The sequence below is a fragment of the Homo sapiens genome, chromosome 6 (genome assembly GCF_000001405.40).
Source record: "Homo sapiens chromosome 6, GRCh38.p14 Primary Assembly".
Classification (NCBI taxonomy): domain Eukaryota; kingdom Metazoa; phylum Chordata; class Mammalia; order Primates; family Hominidae; genus Homo; species Homo sapiens.
The window spans coordinates 29,353,111-29,375,657 of record NC_000006.12 but is presented as its reverse complement, the minus strand read 5'-3'; the positions used below and the strand labels follow the sequence as shown (position 1 = coordinate 29,375,657).

The 22,547-nt window shown below is 36.7% G+C and overlaps 2 protein-coding genes across 2 annotated transcripts; both read left to right on the top strand.

Annotated features, from left to right (window-relative positions):
* Positions 1-366: 366 nt before the first annotated feature.
* On the top strand, positions 367-2,235 carry OR12D3 (olfactory receptor family 12 subfamily D member 3). The gene has a single exon (NM_030959.3). The coding sequence runs from the start codon at positions 371-373 to the stop codon at positions 1,319-1,321; it is 951 nt and encodes a 316-aa protein (NP_112221.1). The 5' UTR covers positions 367-370; the 3' UTR covers positions 1,322-2,235.
* A 4,557-nt stretch (positions 2,236-6,792) lies between these two features.
* OR5V1 (olfactory receptor family 5 subfamily V member 1) lies at positions 6,793-21,909 on the top strand. Its single transcript, NM_030876.6, has 2 exons — positions 6,793-7,026; positions 19,381-21,909. Exon 2 carries the CDS (start codon positions 19,463-19,465, stop codon positions 20,426-20,428), a length of 966 nt encoding a protein of 321 aa, NP_110503.3. The 5' UTR covers positions 6,793-7,026; positions 19,381-19,462; the 3' UTR covers positions 20,429-21,909.
* The last annotated feature ends 638 nt before the right edge of the window (positions 21,910-22,547 follow it).

Below are 22,547 nucleotides of genomic sequence, written 5' to 3'. Positions count from 1 at the left end.
CCTGTTTGTATGTTTAAAATTTTTGTAATACATAATTCTAATGCCATACATGAGGTTATGATTATGTCCATCAAATCTTGCACTTCCTAGTTTTGAAAACAAATGCCCTTTATCTATATCTGATTTGTTCATAATATAATGCTTTTATTAGTCTAGTGCCATTTTAACAGCTCAGAATTTATCAGGTATATTAGTCTTCCTCAATTTTGTTGTACATAAATTTAGTTTTACTGTTCGTAACTATTCTTCACACTGTTGCTCACCCCTAGGTTCCTCCAAATAGTAAACTTGCTTTATTTAATCCTCACAGTGTAAAATTAAAAATTCAGAAAAATTAATTCTGTTATTGTTAAATTTGCTTCCCAGAGCAATGGAGAATGTCACTACAATGAATGAGTTTCTTCTACTTGGCCTGACTGGTGTTCAGGAGCTGCAGCCTTTCTTCTTTGGGATTTTCTTAATCATTTACCTGATAAACTTGATTGGAAATGGATCTATATTGGTGATGGTTGTTTTGGAACCACAACTCCACTCCCCTATGTATTTTTTTCTGGGAAACCTTTCTTGTCTGGATATTTCTTATTCTTCAGTGACACTGCCCAAGCTGCTCGTAAACCTCGTGTGCAGTCGCAGGGCTATATCTTTTCTAGGCTGTATCACCCAGCTACACTTCTTCCACTTTTTGGGAAGCACAGAGGCCATTTTACTGGCTATCATGGCCTTTGACCGTTTTGTTGCCATCTGCAATCCTCTTCGCTACACTGTCATCATGAACCCCCAGGTGTGTATTCTGTTGGCAGCTGCGGCCTGGCTCATCAGCTTCTTTTACGCTCTGATGCATTCTGTCATGACTGCACACCTGAGTTTTTGTGGCTCTCAGAAACTCAATCACTTCTTCTACGATGTCAAGCCGCTCTTAGAATTGGCCTGTAGTGACACATTACTCAATCAATGGCTTCTTTCCATTGTCACAGGCAGCATATCCATGGGAGCTTTCTTTCTGACTCTTCTCTCCTGCTTCTATGTAATTGGCTTCCTTCTGTTTAAGAACAGGTCCTGCAGAATACTCCACAAGGCTCTGTCCACTTGTGCCTCCCATTTTATGGTGGTATGTCTTTTCTATGGACCTGTGGGCTTCACATATATTCGTCCTGCTTCAGCCACCTCCATGATTCAGGACCGGATAATGGCCATCATGTATAGCGCCGTCACCCCTGTACTGAATCCACTAATCTACACCCTTAGGAACAAAGAAGTGATGATGGCTCTGAAGAAAATCTTTGGTAGGAAGTTGTTTAAAGACTGGCAGCAACACCACTAGGACTAATGAGGGATATCTGATTTCTATTAAGACTGATTTCCATCACTTCACTGTAAGAAATGATTTGTTTACCTGGTTTATATTTTTCTTTCAAAAATTTTGAGCACATATTATATTAGGCAGTGTAGTAGGTTCAAGAAACACAGGAGCAAGCAAAACAAATTCCATAATGTCATCAAACATAAAGTTTAATGTGATGGAGGCCCCAAATAACCAAACGCGTAAGTACATATGTCAGGATAATTCGGTGGCAAGGAGAACTAAGGAGGTAGGAAGTATGGGGAGGGTTAGAGTAGGAATCTGCTGTGTAAAAAAGAATGTGGCATTTCTCCTAGGACAAAAACCTTTGGAATTTTCCAAGTAATAGAAGTATCTTACTGAAATTCCATATGAGATAATCTTTATTTTTGCCTATTTTTTTTCCTTTTGTGTTTCCTTCAGCAGGAAAGTACTGATGATAATTTTTCTCACAACAGTTTTTATCTAGAATATCATTTTTGTTAATCTTAATTCTTGAAGAGAATTTTTAATGGGTATTTAATTTTAGGGAGAGATTTTTCTAGCCATTGAAAATATCTTGTTTTTCCCCAGCTTATTGAAGTATAATTAACAAATAAAAATTGCATATATTTAGGCTTCACAACATGATGCTTTAGTATATGTATACATTGTGAAGAGACTACCACAATCAAGCTAAACCTACATTACTGTCCCTGCATTAGTTTACTGTTGAATACTAGAAGTTCTTCATTCTATCTAACTGCATTTTCATACCCATTAAGCCAATGTGACAAGCTCTTTGTTTCAGTTGGAGTGTTTGCACAATTTAAATTTGATAAATTTTTGATAGAATTAAATTTAAATTTATCCTCCAACTAAATTTTTGATAGAATTAAATTTAAATTTGTCCTCCAACTGTTTGCCTTTCATTTGTCCTATTTGTCCGTTATTGCTTCTTCTTTCATTTACTGTTTTTTATGGGAATATTTTTATGATTTCATTATATTTTCACTATTGTCCTTTTATTTATACCTTTTTATTTTATATTTTTGTGGTTACTCTGGGGTTTACAATGTACATTTTAAATTCACAAAATATTTCTTCACATAATATTACACCATTTAAGATGTATTGCTAGAGTCATGCCATACTGTACTTCCATCTCCCTGCTCATGCTTTGTGATTTTAATGTCACACATTTTACTTTTACTTATGTTATTAGTATCCAAGATACTGCAATTCTGTTTTTTTTGAAAAATTCTATTATTTTTAAGGTAATTAAAAATAATAAAAATGTCTTTTACACTTAAACACATATTTATAATTTCTGGCACTTTTGGTCCCTTCATGGAGACACTGATTTTCATCTCGTATCATTTTTTTGTTGTTGTTGTCTAAAGACTTTCCTTAACTATTTCTTGTAGTAAAGTTCTGCTGGTAATAATTTACTTCAGCTTTTGTTGGCATGAAAAAGTACTTTGCCCTTATTTTTAAGAGATGTTTTCTCTGTATATAAAATTTTAAATTGCCAGACTTTTGTTTATGTGCTTTAAAGCTGTTGCTCCATTACCTGTCTCACATAATTTCTGGTGGGATGCATGCTGCCATTCTTATCTTTATTCCTTTGTAATAACTGTGTTGATTTTTCTCTTGCTGATTTTAAGATTTTTCTTTATGACTTTTTTAGCAAATAGATTATGATGTTCATTGTAAAGTTTTCTAATATTTATTCTATTTAATTTTTATTGAGCTTCTTGGATCTATAGATTATATATTTTATCAAATTTGGAAAAACTCAGTCATTACTTCTTCAATGTTTTTAATCAAACACTTCTTTAGTACTCCACTTGCACATATGTTAGACTGCTTGAAATTATGACATAGGTCATTGATACTTTGTCCATTTTATTAAAAAGATTTCTCTGTGCTTCATTTTGGATTGTTTTTATATCTATATCTCCAAGTTCCTTGATTTTTTCTTCTGCAGTAATTAATCTACTGTTTATTCCATGCACTGCATTTTTCACTTTATATTTTGTATTTTTTATTTAAACAAGTTCTATGTGGGTCTTTAAAAAAATCTCTCTCTTTTTATGTCTGTATTTCCCCTAAATTATTATGCTTATTTTGAGGCATACTTTTTTTTTTGTTAAGGTAGATCCAGAACATTGTTTATTCTGAGATTAATTTAGCCCCCACTACTAAGGTAATATCCTTCTCAGGACTCCACCTAAGTCCTTGTCTATTACAAGCTGTTCCAATCAGGCTGATGGGTCATGGGACATACCCAACCCTGTCTTGTACAGTGTATTAAAATCATTGCTTTATATATTTTATTCCATTTTTTAGATGTTTAATCAGGAGAGAAAATCTCGTTACTTTATTATGGCAAGTAATGAAACACAAAAATCATTATTTTTGAGGTTGCGGAATGTAGATCTTCCTATCTGTTGTGGGTACACACGACTACTTTCTAGTATCAATAACATTAGTGTGATATAATCTAAATCACAGGCACTAATGTAGTCACTCCTGATCGAGGTACAACATATGTAGCTGGCAATACTGTTCAGGGTTGATGCTTATATTTTTTTTTTCTTAAATTGAGACAGAGTCGCCCTATGTTTCCCAGGCTGGTCTTGAACTCCTGGGCTCAAGGGATCTTCCTGCCTCTGCCTCCCAAAGTGATAGGATTACAGGTGTGAGCCAGCACTCCAGGCCTTATCTTAAATTCACACTTTGTTAACTTTTTTTCTCCTTTTTTTGTAGAAACAAACAGAGCAAATATTTCAGTGTATGATGTCCCTGTTTTCCTACTCTGTTCTATGAGTATATCTCTATAAAAGAGTTGATTCTACTATTATTTTGCTCTTAATAATATTTTCCTATTTTCACCTCATTTTTATTATTCTGAATAGATCATCTTTAAAAAGGAAGTGAAATTTTTTTTCCTTTTTGTCTCTACCCTATCTATTTCTTTTTTGTTATGGCCATTTATAGTCACGTACACTCATTTAATCTCAATTTATTCACTGGAAAAAAACAGCTGATTTAATGTTAGAGAGCACACATTATTGGTAAATCCCTTATTATACATCATAAAAAGCAAAGACACCCCAAACTCCTAGATTTATAAGAAGAAAACAAGCTACGGGGAAATGATTCCCTATTTAATAAATGGTGCGGGGATAACTTCCTTGTCATATACAGAAGATTGAAGCTGGATACCTACCTTTTACCCTATACAAAAGTTAACTCAAAATTGATTAAAGATTTAAATGTAAGACCTCAAATTATAGAAATCATGGAAGATAACCTAGGAAATACTCTTCTCAACATCGGCCTTGGCAAAAGATTTTTGGCTAAGTCACCAAAAGCAATGGCAACAAAAACAAAAATAGACAAGTGAGACCTGATTAAACTAAAGAGCTTCTGCACAGCAAAAGAAACTATCAACAGAGCAAACACACTATCTACAGAAAGGGAGAAGATATTCACAAACAATGCATCTGACAAAGGCCTAATATCCAGAATCTATAGGGAACTTAAACAAGTCAACAAGCAGAAAGCCAATAATCCCATTAATAAATGGGCAAAGGACATGAAAAAACACTCTCAAAAGAAGACATACATGTGGCTAACAAACATACGAAAAAATTATCAGCATCACTAATTATCAGGGAAATGCAAATCAAAACTGCAGTGAGATATTATCTCACACCAGTCAGAATGACTATTTAAAAAGTCAAAAAACAACAGATGCTATCAAAGCTGCAGAGAAAAGGGAATGCTTATATGCTGTTGGTGGGAATGTGGATTAGTCCAGCAACTGTGAAAAGCAGTCTGGAGATTTCTCAAATAATTTAAAACAGAACTACTATTCAATACAGCAATCTCATTAATGGGTATATATCAAAATAAAATAAATCATTCTACCAATAGGATACATACACTCACATGTTCATTGTTGCGCTGCTCACAATAGCAAAGATGTGGAATGACAGACTGGATAAAGAAAATGTGTTACATATGCACCATGGAATACTATGCAGCCATAAAAACAGAATAAAATAATGTCCTTTGCAGCAACATGGATGGAGCTGGAGGGCATAATTCTAAGCAAGTTAACACAGGAACAGAAAACCAAATACTGCATGTTGTAACTTATAAGTGGGAGTTAAGCATTGAGCACACATGAACATAGGTATGGGAACAATAGACACTGTGGACTACCAGAGGCTTCAGGGATGGGGGAGGATGGGTTAAAAAACTGCCTATCAAGCCAGGTACTAGGCTCATTACCAGGGTGGTGAGATCCATACTCCAAATTTGAACATCATGCAATATTCCCATGTAACAAATCTGCACATATATCCACTATGTCTAAAATAGAAGTTGAATTTTTTTAAAAAAGTAAAAACTAAAAATAAATATAAAATAAAAAAATTTAAAAAGACTTATTGGTAATGAATGTTAGATACAATAAATGAATAATGCAAAATTTATTATCGTCTGTTTTTGGAGTGAAATAACCACTCATAGATATCTTCAGATGATAACTCTCTTGCTGTGTGTACCCAAGTCAGCCGGTAAGAATTTAGCAAGTGATGAAATTGGATAATGCCTAGTAGGTAATTAATTTGTTGAGAATTGAGATTTGATTTTAAGCCATAGGTGATGATTAAGAACCATATGAATCTGGGAGAAATAACTCTTCTTTAATCCAAATTCTTAATTTTAAAGGGCAGGCAATATAATCATTAGAGGTCAAAGGATTCAGAAATTCTGTTTTTATGTGATAGTGGCATACTTAGCTGCCTCAATTCTTAAATAATTATAGGATCAAAATTAATCAAGCAATTATACTTTTAATTTACAAGTCATGCTCAAAATTAATATTTAATCTATCACAAAATATATGGATACTGTATATTCGTTAGTGAGTTTTTGATACATCTTCAAGAACACATAACATGCAAAGGAATAGATATTTGGAGGACTAATCAGTCTTCGGTGGCTGAAGAATATTTCTTCAGTGCGAAGTAGTGTGCAATGTAAGCTTCCCCCACCTCCAGGAGGAAATGAGGATGCTTTCTCCTAATTTAAGCTGAGAGAAAAACCAGTTAGAGAGCTTGATTTCTACATCTGGAATTTTGGAGTCCAAAGACTGATATTTCTTACATGGCCAAGAAGCAAAATCTAGAGAACTGCATTTCCTGTGTTAATAGGGGAAGCATGTGGGTTGTTTCTCACTAGACAGATGTGGGCCAGGAGGTAGTGGTCCACCTGGAGCAGGTCGGACTCCACAGGACACTTTCTGAAGCATAATTATGATGGCAACAGAGCCACTAGAAGACAAATAGATGCTCAGGGGTTGAAGCAGGAACCAGAAGTAGTGAGTCTCAGGACTTGTGCTTGAAGATCCCCAACGTGTGTCTCCGAGGCTCTTGAAATATTCCCATAAGATGTGGGGATCTTCTTAATCCAAAGGGCATTTTCCTTACTCACTCCAGTCCCATGCACTGGCCTTCAGGGACTGAGTAGAGTCTTGGCACTCACCTAGAAAACCCATCACTCAGAAGTTTATCAGCACAGACTCTGTAGGGAACATTATTTTGTGTTACTTCGTTGTATTCTTAAAAACAGCCCCATATCAGTCTCTCAGAGTCTGAATGGTAATCTCTGCTCAATATCTCCAATCACAGGTGAGTGAGTAAGTATTTTTAATTGCTTAACTATAGCTTCATTGCTCTTAGAGATACACTTTTCTGTCTTGCTTTTTGGATATGAGACTAACTGTGTAGGAGATGGAAGTGTAATGACCTGAGGAGTTCCAAAGGAGGGAATAATAAAATTGTCTGTCCCATGCTTTGGGTGACAATCAGCCTACTGAGTATGTGAATCAGGAAGCTTCTTTCATTTTGGGTAATTTTTATGTCATTCAGAATAGCCCTCTGCTGGTTTGCCGATTTTTTATTAAATAAAGGACAGTGTATTTATTCTGCAAAAAGAGACTAAAATGCCACTGGACTGCAGAGAATAGTATCAGGAACACACTTCGTGTGACTTTCTCACAAGAAACCATCTTTCATGTGGATCTAATAACCTTGCATGCTAGCTATTATTGATTGAGCTTTAGCCACACTGATTTTCACGTTTGCTATGTGATTTCAGTTTTTAGTAAGAAATTGGATAGTATATTTTGAGAAAATTTGAAATTTTAAGATTCTGAATTTCTAAGGTCTCTTTTTTGAGAACACTCTTTAATGAAGAGCTACTGGGTCTGTTAGAAGGAAATGAAAAAGTCAAGACTGAGCTTGGAGGGCAAACATTCTCGTGAATTTTCTGGGGGCCTCTCCTTGTGGGTTCTTAGAGGCCATTCTTGAGCTCTTTACTATGATATGAAATTCTGAAAACATTTTCTCAGTTGTCCTTGTATTATATCAAGTTTCGGTTCTTTAGTAAGGAGTCAAGACCATGGCTGCTTGGAAAAGCAGTAATTTTCCTATAACTCTGTGTGAAATACTTGTGCTTTGCGTGGTGAATTCTATTCTGTCTCAGGGTCAATCTATGCCTATGAGAGGCAACAATGACCCATGTAGCACAATTTGAGTACCAGCTGCAGGATGTTGTTCTAGATTTGGAAATAGAAGAATTTTTTTCTACTCTTAGTTCACTACTTGTTAACTATTTGATCTTATAAGTAATCCACCATAAATTACAGACTCCTCTACTCTAACTAATATAAATGTTATAAGAATAAAAATAATATGTAAGGTCTGAACATTTTTTCCAAGTTCTACATCATAATAAGTATGTAAAAAAGGGAGGAAATACAATTGTTTTCTTGGAAAATTTTGCTATACTGCCTTATATTCCAACAGTAGTAATCCATTACTGAATGTAAGACCACTGTGTCCCCAGTTACGTATTAATTCATTGAGAAATAGATTAGTAAGACAGAATATGCACCATAAGATATTATGGACAAACAAGTGATATGTCACACAAATAAGTATGTTGTGTGTTATGTGTCATAATCAAGATTGAAACAAATGCCTATAGATTTTCCAGGAAGGGACAGAAGCATTTCACTTGAAGAGAAAAGAGGCATTTAAGCTGAGCTTTAAAAATATGTAGATTAGCAGACAGAAATGAAAGCAGGAAGAAAAACATACAGGCTGAGTGGATAAAAAAATGACTAAAATTAAGAGGCTATTCTGAAAAAGAAAATTCTTATTTTAAGGCAAATAACCTTAGAGGAGTAATACATTATTGTTTAAGTTATTTCATTTAGTCGTTTTATCACAACAGCTTCCCCACAAATAGGGACATGGGAAAGGCATGTTTTGAAGTAAAGGGCAATGATCACAGAACATAGAGGACTTGGGTAACAAAACAAAAGCATCAGGAGATCCCCAGGAGAAAGTAATTCCTTCTCTTAATGTGTAAGAAACCCTGAGAAGGGAGGTGGGCTGCTGAGCCAAGTGTGTCCTCCTTCGCTATTTTGAGAACTGGACAGCTGATACCATCTCATAATGACCTATGTTTGTGTTGGAGGGCAGTTCTCTGCAGGATAGCTTTTCTCATGAGGAATGGTCTGGCAAGAAAAATGGGGCCCCTTATTTTCACAAACAGTTCTTTTAATAACAGCACTCTTTCATACACTAACTGTAATTCAGTGCTTCCTTGAATTTCTACTTTTATGCTTCTCCTTCTTAGTCTCATAGTTTAGCTTCTACATGCAGGAAATTAGTTCTGAGAAAGTTCAATTCTGTGTTCTCTTTTTTCCTACTTCACACTCTCCCATCCATAGGAGTAGTTTCAACTATCCTCTATATGCTGATGTGTTACAAATTCGTATCTCTAGTACATACCTCTCCTCTGAGGCCACATACCAAAATATGTCAAATAAACATATTTTCTTAGATATTCAGATATCTCAAATTCAGCATGGCCAAAACTGAACACATGATCTCCCCCTGGATTTCCTTTTTTTTTTTTTTTTTTTAATATACTTTACTTTAAGTTCAGGGATACATATGCAGAATGTGCAGGTTTGTTACATAGGTGTACATGTGCCATGGTGGTTTGCTGCACTGATCAACACGTCATCTCGGTTTTAAGCCCCGCATGCATTAGCTATTTGTCCTAATGCTCTCCCTCCCCTTGCCACCTACTCCCCAACAGGCCCCAGTGTGTGAGGTTCCCTCCCTGTGTCCATGTGTTCTCATTGTTCAACTCCCACTTATGAGTGAGAACATGTAGTGTCTGGTTTTCTGTTCCTGTGATAGTTTGCTGAGGATGATGGTTCCCAGCTTCATCCATGTCCCTACAAAGGACATGATCTCATTCTTTTTTATGGCTGCATAGTATTCCATGGTATATATGTGCCACATTTTCTTTATCCAGTCTATCATTGATGGGCATTTGTGTTGGTTCCAAGTCTTTGCTACTTTAAATAATGCCACAATAAACCTACGTATGCATGTGTCTTTATAGTAGAATGATTTATAATCCTTTGGGTATATACCCAGTAATGGGATTGCTGGGTTAAATAGTATTTCTGGTTATAGATCCTTGGGTAATTGCCACACTGCCTTCCACAATGGTTGAACTAATTTACACTCCCATCAACAATGTAAAAGCCTTCCTATTTCTCCACATCCTCGCCAACATCTGCTGTTTGCAGACTTTTTAATGATTTCCATTCAAACTGGCGTGAGATGGTATCTTATTGTGGTTTTGATTTGCATTTCTATAATGACCCATGATGATGAGCTTTTTTTCATATGTTTGTTGGCCACATAAATGTCTTCTTTTGAGAAGTGTCTGTTCATATCCATCACCCACTTTTTGATGGGGTTGTTTGTTTTTTCTTGTAAATATGTTTAAGTTCCTTGTAGATTCTGGATATTAGACCTTTGCCAGATGGATAGATAGCCAAAATTTTCTCCCATTCTGTAGGTTTCCTGTTCAGTCCGATGATAGTTTTTTTTTTTTTTTCTATGCAGAAGCTCTTTAGTTTAATTAGATCCCGTTTGTCAATTTTGGCTTTTGTTGCATTGCTTTTGGTGTTTTAGTCATGAAGTCTTTGCCCATGCCTATGTCCTGAATGGTATTGCCAAGGTTTTCTTCTAGGGTTTGTATGGGTTTAGGTTTTATGTTTAAGTCTTTAATCCATCTTGAGTTAATTTTTGTATAAGGTGTAAGGGAGGGGTCCAGTTTCTGTTTTCTGCATGTGGCTAGCCAATTTTCCCAGCACCAATTATTCAACAAAGAATCCTTTCCCCATTGCTTGTTTTTGTCAGGTTTGTCAGGTTTTTTCAGGTTTGTCAAAACAAAGGTTTTGTCAGGTTTGTCAGGTTGTAGATGTGTGGTGTTATTTCTGAGGCCTCTGTTCTGTTCCATTGGTCTATATATCAGTTTTGGTACCAGTATCATGCTGTTTTGGTTACTGTAGCCTTGTAGTCTAGTTTGAAGTCAGGTAACATGATGCCTCCAGCTTTGTTCTTTTTTTTTTTTTTTTTTTTTTTTTTGAGACGGAGTCTCGCTCTGTCGCCCAGGCTGGAGTGCAGTGGCGGGATCTCGGCTCACTGCAAGCTCCGCCTCCCGGGTTCACGCCATTCTCCTGCCTCAGCCTCCCAAGTAGCTGGGACTACAGGCGCCCGCCACTACGCCCGGCTAATTTTTTGTATTTTTAGTAGAGACGGGGTTTCACCGTTTTAGCCGGGATGGTCTCGATCTCCTGACCTCGTGATCCGCCCGCCTCGGCCTCCCAAAGTGCTGGGATTACAGGCGTGAGCCACCGCGCCCGGCCCAGCTTTGTTCTTTTTGCTTAGGATTGTCTTGGCTATACGGGCTCTTTTTTTGGTTCCATATGAAATTTAAAGTCGTTTTTTCTAGTTCTGAGAAGAAAATCAATGGTAGCTTGATGGGAATAGCATTGAATCTATAAATTACTTTGGGCAGTATGGCCATTTACACAGTATTGATTCTTCGTATCCATGACCATGGAATTTTTTTCTCTTCATTTGTGTCCTCTCTTATTTCCTTGAGAAGCAGTTTGTAATTCTCCTTAAAGAGGTCCATCACATCCCTTGTAAGTTGTATTCCTAGGTATCTTATTTTTTTATGGTAATTGTGAATGGGAGTTCACTCATGATTCAGCTTTCTGCTTGTCTATTATTGGTGTATAGGAATGCTTGTAATTTTTGCACATTGATTTTGTATCCTGAGACTTTGCTGAAGTGGCTCATCAGCCTAAGGAGTTTTGGGCTGAGATGATGGGGTTTTCTAAATATACAATTATGTCATCTGCAAACAGAGGCAATTAGACTTCCTCTCTTCCTATTTGAATACCATTTATTTCTTTCTCTTGCCTGATTGCCCTGGGCAGAACTTCCAATACTATGTGGAATAGGAGTGGTGAGAGAGGGCATCCTTGACTTGTGCAGGTTTTCAAAGAGTACGCTTCCAGCTTTTGCCCATTCATTATGATATTGGCTATGGGTTTGTTGTGAATAGGTCTTTTTTTATATATATGTTCCATCAATATTTAGTTTATTGAGAGTTTTTAGCATGAAGGGGTATGGAATTTTATCAAAGGCCTTTTCTGCATCTATTGAGATAATCATGTGGTTTTTGTCATTGGTTGTTTATGTGATAGATTATGTTTATTGATTTGTGTATGTTGAACCAGCCTTTTATCCCAGGTATGAAGCCGACTTGATTGTAGTGGATAAGATTTTTGATGTGCTGCTGGATTTGGTTTGCCAGTAGTTTATTGAGCATTTTTGCATCGAGGTTCATTAGGGATATTGGACTGAAATTTTCTTTTTTTGTTGTGTCTTTGCCAGGTTTTGGTATCAGGATGATGCTGGCCTCATAAAATGAGCTAGAGAGGAGTCCCTCTTTTTTATTGTTTGGAATAGTTTCAAAACGAATGGTACCAGCTCCTCTTTGTACCTCTGGTAGAATTCAGCCATGAATCCATCAGATCCTGGAGATTTTTTGTTTTTTTAGGCTACTAATTACTGCCTCAATTTCAGTACTTGTTATTGGTCTATTCAGGGATTCGACTTCTTCCTGGTTTAGGCTTGGAAGGGTGTATGTGTCCAGGAATTTATCCATTTCTTCTAGATTTTCTAGTTTATTTGCATAGAGATATTTATAGTATTCTCTCATGGTAGTTTCTATTACTGTGGGATCAGTGGTGATAACTCCTTTACCATTTTTTATTGTGTCTATTTGATTCTTCTCTCTTTTCTTCTTTACTAGTCTGGCTAGCAGTCTATCTCTTTTGTTAATCTTCTCAAATAACCAGCTCCTGCATTCACTGATGTTTTGAAGGGTTTTTCGTGTCTCTATCTCCTTCAGTTCTGCTCTGATCTTAGTTATTTCTTGTCTTCTGCTAGCTTTTGAATGTGTTTGCTCTTGCTTCTTTAGCTCTTTTAATTGTGATGTTAGGGGGTCGATTTTAAATCTTTCCTGCTTTCTGACGTGGGCATTTAGTGCTCTAAATTTTTCTCTTAACACTGCTCTAGCTGTGTCCCTGAGATTATAGTTTATTGTCTCTTTGTTCTCACTGGTTTCAAATAACTTCATTATTCCTCCCTTAATTTCATTATTTACCCAGTAGTCATTCAGGAGCAGGTTGTTAATGTAATTGTGAGGTTTCATGTAGTTGTGAGGTTTTGAGTGAGTTTCTTAATGCTGAGTTCTAATTTGATTGCACTGTGGTCTGAGAGACTGTTTGTTTTGATTTCCATTCTTTTGCATTTGCTGAGGAGTGTTTTACTTCCAATTATGTGGTCGATTTTAGAATAATTGCTATGTGGTGCTGAGAAGAATGTATATTCTGTTGATTTGGGGTGGAGAGTTCAGTAGATGTCTATTAGGTCTGCTTGGTCCAGAGCTGAATTCAAGTCCTGAATATTCTTGATAATTTTCTGTCTCATTGATCTGTCTAATATTGACAGTGGAGTGTTAAAGTCTTCCATTATTATTGTATGGGAGTCTAAGTCTTTTGTAGGTCTGTAAGAACTTGTTTTATGAATCTGGGTGCTCCTTTATTGGGTGCATATGTATTTAGGATAGTTAGCTCTTCTTGTTGCATTGATCCCTTTACCATTGTGTAATGCCTTTCTTTGTCTTTTTTGATCTCTGTCGGTTTAAATTCTGTTTTATCAGAGACTAGGATTGCAACCCCTGCTTTTTTTTTCTCTTTCCATTTGCTTGGTAAATATTTCTCTGTCCCTTTGTTTTGAGCCTATGTGTGTCTTTGCACATGAGATGGGTCTCCTGAATACTGCACACTGATGGGTCTTGACACTTTATTCAATTTGCCAGTCTGTGTCTTTTAATTGGGACATTCAGCCGCCCATTTACATTTAAGATTAATATTGTTAGTGTGAATTTGATCCATTCATCATGATGCTAGTTGGTTACTTTGAACATTAGTTGATGCAGTTTCTTCATAGTGTCTTTGGTTTTTATATTACGGTGTGTTTTTGCAGTGGCTGGTACTACTTTTTCCTTTCCCTGTTTAGTGCTTCCTTTAGGAGCTCTTGTAAAGCAGGCCTGGTGGTGACATAATCCCTCAGCATTTGCTTGTCTGTAAATGATTTTATTTCTCCTGCACTTATGAAGCTTAGTTTGGCTGTATGCAAAATTCTGAGTTGAAAATTCTTTTTTTTTAAGAATGTTGAATATTGGTCCCCACTCTCTTCTGGCTTGTGGGTTTTCTGCGGAGAGATCCACTGTTAGTCTGATGGGCTTCCCTTTGTAGGTAACCTGACCTTTCTCTCTGACTGTCCTTAACATTTTTTCTTTCATTTCGACCTTGGATAATCTGATGATTATGTGTCTTGGGGTTGCCCTTCTCGAGGAGTATCTTAGTGGTGTTCTCTGTATTTCCTGAATTTGGATGTTGACCTGTCTTGCTAGGTTGGGGAAGGTCTCCTGGATAATATTTTGAAGTGTGTTTTCCAACTTGGTCTCATTCTCCATGTTACTTTCAAGTATACCACCCAATCACATGTTTGGTCTTTTCACATAGTCCCATATTTCTTGGAGACTTTTTTCCTTCCTTTTCCCTCTTTTTTCTCTAATATTGTCTTCACACCTTATTTTAGTAAGTTGATCTTCAATCTCTGATATCCTTTCTTCTGGTTGATCAATTCAGCTATTGATACTTGTGTATGCTTCATGAAGTTCTCATGATGTGTTTTTCAGCTCCATCAAGTCACTTATGTTTTTCTCTAAACTTCTAGTTAGCGGTTCCTGTAATCTTTTGTCAAATTTCTTAGCTTCATTGCATTGGGTTAGAACATGCTCCTTTAGCTCAATGGAGTTTGTTATTTCCCACCTTCTGAAGCCTACTTCTGTGAATTCATCAAACTCATTCTCTGCCCAGTTTTGTGCACTTGCTGGAGAGGAGTTGCAATCATTTGGAGAAAAGACATTTTTCTCTAGAAGAATGTTTTTGGAATTTTCAGCATTTTTGTGCTGGTTTTTCCTCATCTTCGTGGATTTATCTACCTTTGATCTTTGAGGTTGATGACCTTTGGATGGGATTTTGTGTGGGGGTCCTTTTTGTTGATGTTGATGTTATTGCTTTCTGTTTGTTAGTTTTTCTTCTACCAGTCAGGCCCCTCTTCTGCAGGTCTGCTGCAGTTTGCTCAAGGTTCACTCCAGACCCTATTTGCCTGAGTATCACCGGTGGAGGCTGCAGAACGGCAACTATTACTGCCTGCTTCTTCCTCTGGAAGCTTCATCCCAAAGGGAAGCCCAGTGCCAGCTGGACTCTCCTCTATGAGGTGTCTGTCAACCCCTGTTGGGGAGTCTCTCTCAGTCAGTAGGCACTGGGGTCAGGGATTCACTGGCAGAGGCAGTCTGTCCCTTAGCAGAGCTTGAGCGCTGTGCTGGGAGAACCCTCCTTGTCAGAATCCACTGTTCTCTTCAGAGCCGGCAGGCAGGAATGCTTAAGTCTGATGAAGCTGCGCCCACAGCTGCCCCTTCCCCCAGGTGCTCTGTCCCAGGAAGATGGGAGTTTTATCTCTAAGCCCCTGACTGGGACTGCTGCCTTTCTTTCAGAGATGCCCTCCCCAGTGAGGAGGAATCTAGAGAAGCAGTCTGGCCACAGCCACTTTGCCACGCTGTGTTGAGTTCCACCCAGTCCAAACTTCCAGGCCTCCTTAGCACTGTCAGGGGAAAACTGCCTACTCAAGCCTCACTAATGGTGGATGCCCCTCCCCACAACAAGCTCGATCATCCAGGGTCGACTTCAGACTGCTGTGCTGGCAGTGAGAATTTTAAGCCAGTGGTCCTTAGCTTGCTGGGCTCCATAGGAGTGGGACCCGCTGAGTGAGAGCACTTGGCTTCAGCCCCCTTTCCAGGGGAGTGAACAGTTCTGTCTGTTGATGTTCCAGGTGCCACTGGGGTATGAAAAAAACTCCTGCAGCTGGCTCAGTGTCTGCCCAAACAGCCACCCAGTTTTGTGCTTGAAACCCAGGCCCCTGGTGGTGTAGGCACATGAGAGAATCTCCTGGTCTGCGGATTGCAAAAACCGTGGGAAAGGTGTAGTATGTGGGTGAATAGCACAGTCCCTCACAGCTTCCCTTGGCTGGGGAAGCTCCTTGCACTTCCCGAGTGAGGCGATGCCACACCATGCTTCTGCCTGCCCTCCAGGTGCTGCACCTGCTTCCTAACCAGTTACCTAACTGGTACCTCAGTTGGAAATGCAGAAATCACCTGCCTTCTGCATTGGTCTCACTGGGAGCTGCAGAGCAGAGCTGTTCCTATTCAGCCATCTTGCCAGATTTGCCAACAAGTGCCAATTTCCTGCTTTCATTTCAGAGAATGACACCCCCAGCCATCTGCTTGTTCAATCCAGGAATCTAGATCAGCACAGTGCACTCGTTTAGGCCACAAAGTGAAATGTAAAACCCAATAACACCACTGCAAGTCTGAGTAACTTTAGGCAAATTATTTAATTTCTCTGAAACTTATTTTAAAATTTTTTACTTGTAATGTGGACATAATATGTCTCTTTCATTGTGTGCGTGTGCGTTTTTAGTGTGTGTGGGCATGTGAACTGGGTAATACAATGATTGTTGAATGGTTATGTTATAATAAGCATTTAATATATGTTGGTTATAACTACTATCCTTAATTTATCCTTCTTCGTCATTTTATACCAAAATTGTAACACTGTATATTCTAATATCTCTCAAATGCCTCTATTTCTATCCAACCAAATTGTCACCACTCTAGTCTGCAGTATATATATAACGTGATGTTATAATGCATGTATATATTTTGGAATGAGTACAGCAGGCTAAATAACATATCTGCCACCTCACATACTTATCATTACTTTGTGGGGAAAATATTTAAAATCCACTCCATTAGCAATTTTGGAATATACAATACATTTTAACTATAGTCACCATGCTATACAATAAATCATTAGAAGTTACTTCTCCTGTGTAACTGAAACTTTGTACCCTTTGACCAGTCCACCCCTGTCCACTCCTACCTCAAACTCTGGTAACCACCATTCTATTTTCTACCTCAATAGATTTGACCTTTTTAGATTCCACATATAAGGGAGATCATGCAATACTTGTCTTTCTGTGCCTGGCTCATTTCACTCAGCATAATGTCCTCTAGCTTAACCCATGTCAGAAATGACAGGATTTTCTTTTTTTAAAGGCTGCATAGTATTCCACCAGGTATATATAACATTTCTTTAGTCATTCATCTATTGGTGAAGATTTAGGTTGTTTCCATGGCTACTGTGAATAATGCTGCAAAGACCATGGGAGTGCAGATATCTCTTTGAGATACTGATTTCAATTCCTTTGAATATATATCCAGAAGTGGAATTGCTGGATCACATAGTAGTTGCATTTTTAGTTTTTTGAAGAAACTGCACTGTTTTCCAAAATGGCTCTATTAATTTACATTTCCATTAACACTGTGCCAGTTCCCTTTTTTCCACATTTTTGCCTTAAAATACATTTGTTGAATAAAATGAGTAGAAGGGTTAATTCCTCCTCAGAAGTGGAAGGAAATGTTAAAAAAGATGAAAGGGGAGATAGAGATTTGGAATAGGGAAAAAGATTGATTTGAGAATACAATTTTGGAGTTCTTCTGTAGATGGAATGAAAATTGTCCCAGTGAATTTATTCAGTTGTGGTAATGTGAAATACTATATTATGTGAATTTTTTCAACTTATCCTCTCCCTTCATTAAAAATATCCACAGTAGTTCACGAGGAAAGAAGACAGCAATTACAACAAAAGCACAATTAAGCCACCTCTCAAACTTGACATTGAAATGCATATTTGTCTATAGGTGAGGGCAATCGATAAAGTATATAGTTTGAATGAATATACAACAATTATCTTCATTTTTAAGTTTTTATTTTGTTTTATTTATCTAAGTTTTTATAATTTGCTTCAAACATCAAACTGCAGATTAATTTTTCTCACTTGAATTAGGCCCTGAGCATTTTAAATTAGGGGATTCTCCCTACAACTGTTTTAATTTTATTAAACATTTTTATTAACCAACTTAAACTAAGCTCTAGAAGAGTATCTTTTAATAACACAAACATGAACATTTAAATTAATCTATAGCTGGTCCAGGAAATAAAAAACTACACTAGAAATTGATTGTTCAAATAAACATATTCAAATAAAAACCAGGTATTTAGAAACAATTGGATTTAACCATCAAAACACTGCAGGCATAGCACATTGCCATTAACAGTCAGAAATAGAAGTCATAACAATTTGTAACCAGTTAAAATAATTCAGTTGTATGAACGTAGGTTATATTCAAAACAAGAGAAGTGTTTTTTAAGGGCATTCTGTTGTCATAAGTTAATGGAAATTAAATTTTTAGCCACTCAACTGAAAGTATATTAGCTTTGGGAGTGATAAACCTACCTTTTTTTTACCTGCTAGCTGCGTGACATCTTCCAGACGTTTATCTTGCTGAGGCTTGGTGCTCTCATCCAGAGAATGGGAATGATAAATATTACTTATCTTAAAGGATTTATGTAAAGACTAAATGAGATGCTGTGTAGGAAGTGCTCAGAGATTATCAGCATCCTTCTATATGAAGCACTTAACAATAATTTGTTGAAACAGACACTAATTCCTGCACCAGCCAAATAGCTCTTGAATTTTCCAGATTGATGATCTATAGCAATAGGTTTCTAATTCATTAGGATAAGTCTCTTGGAAAGTTTATAAAAATTCAGATAACCTAACCCCAAATTCAGGGAATCTAATTCAATATGCTTCTTGTTGAAATTTATCATATCAAAAATGAACAAATAAAACAATATAAATATTCATTAATAAGGGTGGGATATATAAAAACTTTGCTATATTCATACAAATACTTGAATACAACTCAAAGATCATGTTTTAGCATAAAATGTATTGCCACGGAAAATTAAGGAAAAATCAGATTAAAATAGGTACTTTTGATCCTCTATTCAACATTTCTATATGGAAAATGGATCAGAAGAACATATACCAAATCATTAATAGAGATTTTCTCTGGTGACTACTAAAGATTTTTAATGTTTTAAATTTTCTTTTCTATATTTTTCCCAAATATTCTAAAACAAATACATTAATTTTAATCGGAAAAGAATATAAAACAAAATTTATATTAACGTTGAAGTATGAAAAAGGAGAGCAGGGATGGCTTCAAAGAAGCAAATGAATACCAGAGATTCTTCTAGAAATCGCATTCTACAGCACAAGTTCACACATCCCCAAGAAAATGCCGGTGAGCATGACCCAGCCATTATTAACAGAGAACTCTAGGACATATGGTGTCCATTTGTATTCTAATTTAAAACTTCCAGTGTTGTATATTTAAAAAGATTTGATCTGCAGGTGAAACATTGGATGTATTTATATCTGTGTTGCATGGTAGGTAGGAGCTATGGTTTGCAAAAGAATGCTGCTTCTCTGGTTTGACATAAATGGTGATTACTTTTATTTGTAACCGTTTTTTCCCTTATTTTTCAGGTCATGCTATTGCAGCATATGATTCATTTTTATAATCTGGTCTTCTCTTTGCCCAATTCCTGAAAGGAAACCAGGCGACATCATGGAAAGAAAGAATCAAACAGCTATAACTGAATTCATCATCTTGGGATTCTCCAACCTAAATGAATTGCAGTTTTTACTATTCACCATCTTCTTTCTGACTTATTTCTGTACTTTGGGAGGAAATATATTAATTATCTTGACGACTGTGACTGATCCACACCTGCATACACCTATGTATTATTTTCTAGGGAACTTGGCCTTTATTGACATCTGCTACACCACCAGCAATGTCCCCCAGATGATGGTGCACCTCCTCTCAAAGAAAAAAAGCATTTCTTATGTGGGGTGTGTGGTTCAACTTTTTGCATTTGTTTTCTTTGTAGGATCAGAGTGTCTCCTACTGGCAGCAATGGCATATGATCGTTACATTGCAATCTGCAATCCTTTAAGGTATTCAGTTATTCTGAGCAAGGTTCTATGCAATCAATTAGCAGCCTCATGCTGGGCTGCTGGTTTCCTTAACTCAGTGGTGCATACAGTGTTGACATTCTGCCTGCCCTTCTGTGGCAACAATCAGATTAATTACTTCTTCTGTGACATCCCCCCTTTGCTGATCTTGTCTTGTGGAAACACTTCTGTCAATGAGTTGGCACTGCTATCCACTGGGGTCTTCATTGGTTGGACTCCTTTCCTTTGTATCGTACTTTCCTACATTTGCATAATCTCCACCATCTTGAGGATCCAGTCCTCAGAGGGAAGACGAAAAGCCTTCTCTACATGTGCCTCCCACCTGGCCATTGTCTTTCTCTTTTATGGCAGCGCCATCTTTACATATGTACGGCCCATCTCAACTTACTCATTAAAGAAAGATAGGTTGGTTTCAGTGTTGTACAGTGTTGTTACCCCCATGCTAAACCCTATAATTTACACATTGAGGAATAAGGACATCAAAGAAGCTGTCAAAACTATAGGGAGCAAGTGGCAGCCACCAATTTCCTCTTTGGATAGTAAACTCACTTATTGAACCTCACAGGTTCAATAATCTTATACTACAAAATTAACTTTTTCACCAGTCAGCTGTTTTTATTGAAAGTTTAAAAGATAATTGCAATGTTGGGACAGATATTGAAGAGTTGATACACTCCAGTCTAAGTGTACTTATTCTTGAGCTTTAGTTAGTTCTATGAGAGATATCAATGTTGCTCTCTTTAGATATTATCTTCTTATTTATTTTTCCATTCCTGAATTTTGCATTCAAAGACTGTTTCCCTCTTTCATGAGATATTTGTTTAATGGACTTCATCACTTGAAAATTTCCCTGCTTTTTCATATTGCTTTCTGTATATTAAATAATGTGAAATATTTTTCTTCACATTCCTCATATGTGTGTCATATTTTTCTGTTCTTACTACTTAAGCCATGCTTTTGACCTTTCTTTCTTTAGTAGGCCCTTCTTAATAAAACATCATCACCAATAGATTAAGAAATGTAAACACAGTAAAGTGATGTTTTACCTCCAGATCTGTTGGTAGCTAATTTTAATTTTATCACCTGCTGCATGGGCCAAGGCCAATTTATCTTCACATTGGAATGAAGACAGTCATAATTTTCAATCCCATTTGACATGCATTCTTTATTCTATTCAAAAGGCAGAATTTCCTGAGGGATTTTTCTAAAACTAAGTCCCCAAAACATATTACTATTTTATAGAGTATCTTAAATTTGGGAAACTTTTTTCGCTAAAAATTTAGAAAACAGAATCAGATAAAACATACAGAAAAAACAAGGGTTTTTTGATGGGGAATAAAAAGTCTTAGTTATATAATGACTAAATTTAGAAAAAAAAGTAGAAATTACTAATGTTAAAAGTAAAAGTACTTAATTACTATTTTCTATGTGTTATTACCATGTAAAGTACAGTTATGAAGTCAAGACAAATGGGAAGGAAGACTAAGTGGTGGAAGAGAGAAATAAATACAGACACTGGAGAGAAAATTTAAAAGATAAAGAGACTTAGAGATACCAAGAAGGGAAAATAAATAACATACAATGTAAGAGCCTAAGAGATTGAAAGAGAGATAGAAAAAGGCTTATAGATCAGGTAGATACAAGTTGTCTAGTGTCTTTCTTCACTATTCTCTCAGGACCGTCTTCTTTTTCTTCCCATACCTACTGATGCCTCCCTTGATTAAGTCTTGACTTCCCAGCCCCTCTTTTGTGTAATGTTGTCATAGTGTTCTAGTGGAGTGCCTTGTCTCCATTCCTATTCTGTTTAATGTACCCTGCACATCATTTCTGAGTTAACTTTCTTAACATGGTGTTATGTACAGTCTCCTATACTGTTTTTGTTTTAATAAACTCTACTGGCTTACTGGCACACTCTTCATTTAACTAAATATATTTGTAACCACTGTCTATAAAATCTAAGTACTACCTACTTTGTAACTCATCTCCTGCAGGAACCCTAAATAATTCTTCTCCAGGTATGGCTTGATCTTTCCTGACTACATACCACTATTATGACGATTCCCTTAATTTGGAATTCACATCTCCTCCCTTATTTGTTCAAAATTCTCTTCATTCTTTATAGTTCAATTCAAAATCTACTTTCTCCTCCATCATTCCACCTAATGTTTTCTATTCCTCCTTAAATCACATGGTACTGCCTGAAATGGTGGTGGTGGTGGTAGTGAGAGTTACTTGACTAATCTATTTAAAATTACAACTTCTCACCACTCCCCCACTCAATAACTCTTGATAACTCCACTCTGTCTTTCATTTCATAGCAGTTATCTAAAGTTATTATTATCAGAATTATGTATCCTGTTCACCTCTTTATCTTTAGGGCCAAGAAGAGAATAATTCCTGGCCTATCATAGGTGGTAAATACTCCTGAATAAATATATGAACATGGGGGGCAGAAAGGAAAAACCAGTATCAGCCACTGCAAAAACACACTGAAATACAAGGATCAATGACACTATAAAGAAACTGCATCAACTCGTGTGCAAAATAACCAGCTAGCATCATGATGACAGGATCAAATTCACATATAACAATATTAACCTTAAATGTAAATGGGCTAAATGACCCAATTAAAAGACACAGACTGGCAAATTGGATAAAGAGTCAAGACCCCTCAG

What these genes read in the sequence shown, in the direction of transcription:
- OR12D3 (NM_030959.3), top strand. Translation starts at nt 371, where the DNA reads ATGGAGAATGTCACTACAATGAATGAGTTTCTTCTACTTGGCCTGACT.
- OR5V1 (NM_030876.6), top strand. Translation starts at nt 19,463, where the DNA reads ATGGAAAGAAAGAATCAAACAGCTATAACTGAATTCATCATCTTGGGA.